This window comes from Homo sapiens, chromosome 8 (assembly GCF_000001405.40).
Source record: "Homo sapiens chromosome 8, GRCh38.p14 Primary Assembly".
NCBI lineage: Eukaryota > Metazoa > Chordata > Mammalia > Primates > Hominidae > Homo > Homo sapiens.
The window spans coordinates 128,615,246-128,621,245 of NC_000008.11; positions in this window are offsets into that span (position 1 = coordinate 128,615,246).

The window sequence follows — 6,000 nt, forward strand, 5'->3', positions numbered from 1 at the left end:
AGTGGCTGCCAGGTAAGTTGAACAGTCCGATTTTCAGTGGGGTCCCGCACAGATGGGACACGGCTTAGGAGGAATCCTGGGCTGCAGGCATTCCTTGGCCTGGTGGCCAGATTTCTGGTACTTGTAGCAAGCTTCTAGGGGAGGAGGTTCTGGAGGAATGCCTGGCCGCTGCAGTTCACGCGTTTGGAAGTTCTTGTGTGCTGGAGATGTGGCTGGGGTTTGTCTCACAGTGGAGGCAAGGAATTGCAACTTTTTTTTATTATTGTACACCTTGAAGGTGAGGTTAGTTAAGTCCTGTTGTGAGGTTTGAGGGCCAGATTCCAATTTTTGGAGTTTTATTTAATGTCGGGAGCAGATTGGGTAATAAAATGTATATTGAGAATAAGATGGCCTTTTGACATTTTAGGGTCTAGGGCTGTAAAGCGTCTCAGTATTGCTGCCAAACGAGCCATGAACTGGGCTGGGTTTTTATATTTGATGAAAAAGAGCCTAAACGCTATCTGATTTGGGATAAAGAAAAAGGAGCATTAACCTTGACTATGCCTCGGGCTCCAGCCACCTTTTTAAGAGTAAATTGCTGGGTAGGTGGGGGAGGGCTAGTCACAGAACGAAACTGTAAGCCAGACCAGGTGTGAGGAGGGGAGGCGATAAAAAGATTACAGGGTGGAGGAGCAGAGGCTGAGGAAGAATTGGGACCTAGCTTGGGCTGGCAAGGAGGGGAGAGGTCAGATGGGTCTGTAGAAAAGGAAGATTAGAAAGACTCAGTGACTCTTGGGGTTGGGACTCAGAGGACAGGCAGGAGGGAAAGAAGGAAGATTTGGGACGAGTTGCACTGGGCACAGAGACTAGGAAGGGACTGATGTATAAAAGAATGCCTGGACGTCAGGCACCTCAGACCATTTGCCCATTTTATGACAAGAATTATTTAGATCTTGTAGGATGGAAAAATTGAAAGTGCCATTTTCCGGCTATTTGGAACTACTGTTGAGTTTGTATTGGGGTCAAATGGCATTGCAGAAGAAAATAAGGCATTTAGGTTTTAGGTCAGGTGTGAGTTGAAGAGGTTTTAAGTTTTTGAGAACACAGGCTAAGGGAGAAGGAGGAATGGAAGGTGGAAGCTTACCCATAGTGAAGGAGGCAAGCCCAAAGAAAAGAGTAGAGACACGGAGAAGGGGTGGGGGGTTCTTGCCCTCCAGAAAAGCAGAGAAGGGGTTGGGAGACAGAAATAAGGGATTGAGGCACAGAGATAAGAGATCAGGGTGCAGAAATAAGGGATTGGGGCACAGAGATAAGAGGTTGGGGTGCAGAAATAAGCGATTGGGGGGTTCTTGCCGCCTAGGAAAGCAGGACTTGCCGCTAAGGGTGAAGGAGAAGGGGTTGAGGGGTACTTGCCCCTCTCCCAGAAAAGCGGGGAAGGGGTAGAGACAAGGAGAGAAGGGGTTGAGGTACTTGCCCCTTCCCCAGAAAAGCGAGACTTGCCGCTAAGGGTGAAGGACCAAGGCAGGCGTCCCTGCATGGTCTGACACCCTTGAAACGTGGGTGTATAATCAGAGAGGTGTCCCTGCAAGGATTAAACACCAAGGGAAGGCTGCCTTCCCAGTCCGTGACCGGTGCCGGAGTTTTGGGTCCATGGATAAAACGTGTCTCTTTTGTCTCTACCAGAAAATGAAAGGAATTGAAATTAAGAGAAAGGAGAGATTGAAGTGTAGCGCCAAGATTGAAAGGAGAAAGATGTTGAGGGAATAGTGAGGGAAGTTGGAGAAGAGAGTAAAAAGAGGCCGCTTACCGGATTTGAAATCGGTGAGATGTTTCTTGGGCTGGTCGATCTGAGGACCTGAGGTCGTAGGTGGATCCTTCTCAGGGAGCAAAGAGCAGGAGGAAGGGGGATTGATCTCCCAAGGGATGTCCTCCGATCCGAGCCACGGCACCAAATTTCATACGCGTCCATGTGAAGAGACCACCAAACAGGCTCTGTATGAGCAACATGGTTGTTTATTTCACCTGGGTGCAGGCGGGCTGAGTCCGAAAAGAGAGTCAGTGAAGGGAAATAGGGGTGGGGCCGTTTTATAGGATTTGGGTAGGTAAAGGAAAATTACAGTCAAAGGGGGTTTGTTCTCTGGCGGGCAGGAGTGGGGGTCGCAAGGTGCTTAGTGGGGGTGCTTTTTGAGCCAGGATGAGCCAGGAAAAGGACTTTCACAAGGTAATGTCATCACTTAAGGCAAGGACCGGCCATTTACACTTCCTTTCTGATGGAATGTAATCAGTTAAGGTGGGGCAGGGCATATTCACTTCTTTTGTGATTATTCAGTTACTTCAGGCCATCTGGGCGTTTACGTGCAAGTCACAGGGGATGGGATGGCTTGGCTTGGGCTCAGAGGCCTGACATCTTCACTTTCTATAAAGATAGCATTCACAAATACATACACATAGGCATAAGTGTGGGAAAATATTCAGCCATCCTAAAAAAATTCAGTGTGCATATTAAAATATTGCTTAGTGATAGAATCAGAACTAGATTCTAGACCTCCTATTTCCCAGTCTAGCACTTTTTCTCCTGGTTGATATTTTAAAGTGTTATGAAAAACAAGCAAAAAACTTGAACATTTCCATATAAATCTTGCATAGCAGCTACTTGTGTGTAGAGAAAATAATAGTTATTAACTTTATACAATTTCTATATTACAAGTATTTATCTAAGTGTTTCACATATTATAGAAGGTTATTTAGTCTTCAGAATGATTTCATAATGTAGGAAGTACTATTACCCTTATTTTAAAAATGAAGAAACTGAGGCCGAGAGAAGTTAAGATTCTTGGTTAAAGTCATATGGCTACTAAGAAGTAGTCAAGCCTGAGTTACAAATCCTGGCCATTTACCTTCAACACATTGCACTATACTGCCATTTTAATGCTCTTCTAGCAAGTAAGTTTAAAATTTGGAAATTTGGAGAATAATCCCCAACTAATGATCTGCTATTAGGCAATACCTTGGCTTGTCTATGGGGTGCAGAAGAATTTCAGTCACAAGGCCTCTAGTCTTTGGATGAGAGGAGGCAGACTGGAGTCCTGGAGTTCCTGAAGGAATTATCAAATTCCTCATATTTTCTCTTATATTCCATGTAGCCAAGCAGAGTCTTTTTCCAATCTTGCATTAAAAGTAATGGCAAAAACTGCAATTACTTTTGCATGATCTAATAAACGGAAAGTCATCATGGGTAGAAAGTGGACTCCACACCAGAGTAGCCCCACAGAAGTCTAAGTTGGTAACCTGGGCCCTGGGTGGGTACAGAACTGGGGACAGAAGATATAGTTAGCTCATTAGGACTTTAGGAAGACAAGTTACTTGTGTTGGTTCACTTGAAATCCAGTATGGGTTACAATAAAAAAAGATATGGTGAGTTATCTGAGATAGAGAAATATAATTGAGAGAAGTAAGAAAGTTTACAGGTCTACAATGATAGAAATAGGCTGATTTCATGAAGGAAGATGGTGATGTTGCTACGGGGTTTGAGTTCAAGAGGGAATATTTCAGGCAGAATGGGTTTTACCAAAATCAAGTCAGTATTGTAAAAATTTCAACGGAGGAGGCCTTGGTGTTGGAGCCAGGGGCCTATATGTGAGAGCTGAGTGGAAATGCAGAAGGCTTGGACAAGCTAATTCCTTAGCATTCCTTCACAAATATATTTGTTATATATGTGTTCAAAGTTTATTTTGGGAGACTCAGCCCCGATCTCATATACCCACTCAGCAACACAAATGCCATATTCTTTACCAAATCCATACTCATTATAAGGCAATTTAGGTACTATCTCTTGTGACTTGGTCATGTTATATAGTGAGCTCATATTTCCTCTCACATTCCATGTAGCTTACCAAAGTCTTTTTCCAATCTTGCATAGCTTTCTCAAAGGAGACTTAATAATAAACACAATTTTCTTTATTCGGTGTCATTTCCAATGAGATTGAAAGCCCCCTTGAGAACAGAGCTCCCAGCAAGTGCTCAGCCAGTATTCTGCTAAATGCAGATCTCATAAGAGCAGATTCTAGCTCTGGATGTGCCTAGAAAAATTTATGTAACTTGAACAATTTGTTTCCGTACCATGGGCCTATCTACCTTATCCGTAAAGTGAGGCTACTGAAAGAAGCCAGACATAAAAGAACACACACAGATCATATGACACCATTTCTATAAAGTATTTAGAAAGACAAATCCATATATACAGTATGTAGATTAGGGGTTTCAAGGGGCTGGAGAGACAAATGAGAAGTGATTGTTAATGGGTGCAAGCCTACTTTTTAGGGTGATTAAAAATGTTGTATAGTTAGACAATAGAGATGATTCCACAACTTTGTGAATATACTAAAAGCAATTAGATTTTGTGTAATTAAAATGGTAAATTTTATGGTATGCAAATAAGATTTCAATTAATAAAAAACATATGAAGGCTTTTTCTACTGCTGAAAAGTTTCACAAGTAAGGTTTTTTTTTAAATGAATTCAACCTGTAACATAGTAAGAAATCAAACGCATTTTCATTTGCTATTTTTTTCTTCTCTTCGCTCCCAAGCTATAGACCACAATTATTGATGCTTTATCCAATTGCTCGTTTTCCTAGCAGTGAGAATTTGATAATTATTCACAAATTTGACAGACAGGCAAATTTAGGAAGAGGGGAAGATATTTTCCTGGATTTGAGCCTTAGGAAATGAAAGATGACTATATTTATCTCAGTGGGCTTCCATCCTGTTTCAGTGAGCAGTTTGAGCTTGAATCCAAGTGATTTGGCCATGATACAAATAGCACACATTATATGCAAATTTCCCAAGCATATGAAAACAATCACATTCACAGTTGGAAGAAAGTGAAACAAAATCTATATATAACCATGCAATCACTTATTATGCTAAAAATACCTTCTTTTAAGACATGTCTTTTTTTTTATTATTATTCCCAGTGGTTGAAAATAAATTTGTACTATGCTCTCTGTGGCACTAATAATCTATTGTAGAATTATGGCATGAAGTTTTAAACAGCTTTTTTTCCCTTCTGAGCAATTGTTTCTTGAAAGCAGAGAAACAGTGCCTTTCTCCTGTTTCTAGGCCTTGGAGCAAAAGCTATCATTTTAAACACCTGTTTTGATCTTAAAACGTATAAAATTCCAGCATATGTATGGTGATGCATGACATCTAGCTGTGCAATACTTACTACACTACTGTCTCGACGATACTGCCACTTACGTGATGGAGACTGGGGACCTTTCATTTGCTACTCTTGATCAGCATCTGTAACTGAGATTGCTGCAGCTCAGGGAGAAAGCATCGCGTTCCCCTTAGAGATGCCTCAATGCTCTCCACCACTAATGAGGTTCAGTACTGAAAGAAGAAGGCAGAATGCATACCAGGCTTTTTATCTTTTTAACACTTCCCTTACCCATTTGGCTTTATCTTCCTTCTCTGGTGATGGAAACAATCAAAACAAGTTTATGGCCTATAAAAATGCTTTCCATGCTGTTCCTTTTTTTTTTTTAAATGCTGGTATAGAGGAGATTTTGGAAATGTATACTGTACCATTGTCCCTCTGTATCTGTGGGGAATTAGTTCCAGGACCTACCTTAGATATAAACATCTACAGATGTTCAAGTTTCTAATATAATACAGTGTAGTATTTACATATAACCAATGTATATCATCCTGTATACTTTATCTCTATTTATGGTACCTAATACAATGTAAATGCTATGAAAATAGTTGTTACACTGTATTTTAGGGAATAATGACAAGAAGAACAAATTGACACATGTTCAGTACAGACACAATCTTTTTTCCCAAATATTTTCTATTCCCTGTTGGTTGAATGTGTGGATATGGAACACATGAATGTAAAGAGCCATCTCTATAGGCTTGGAAAAGCATATATTCCTTGCCTTCAGTTGATTTCCTGGGGGCTTGGAGGCCTGTGGGAGTGGGAGCAGTGGGTACCGGCTGGTGGTAGGATCGGGAGT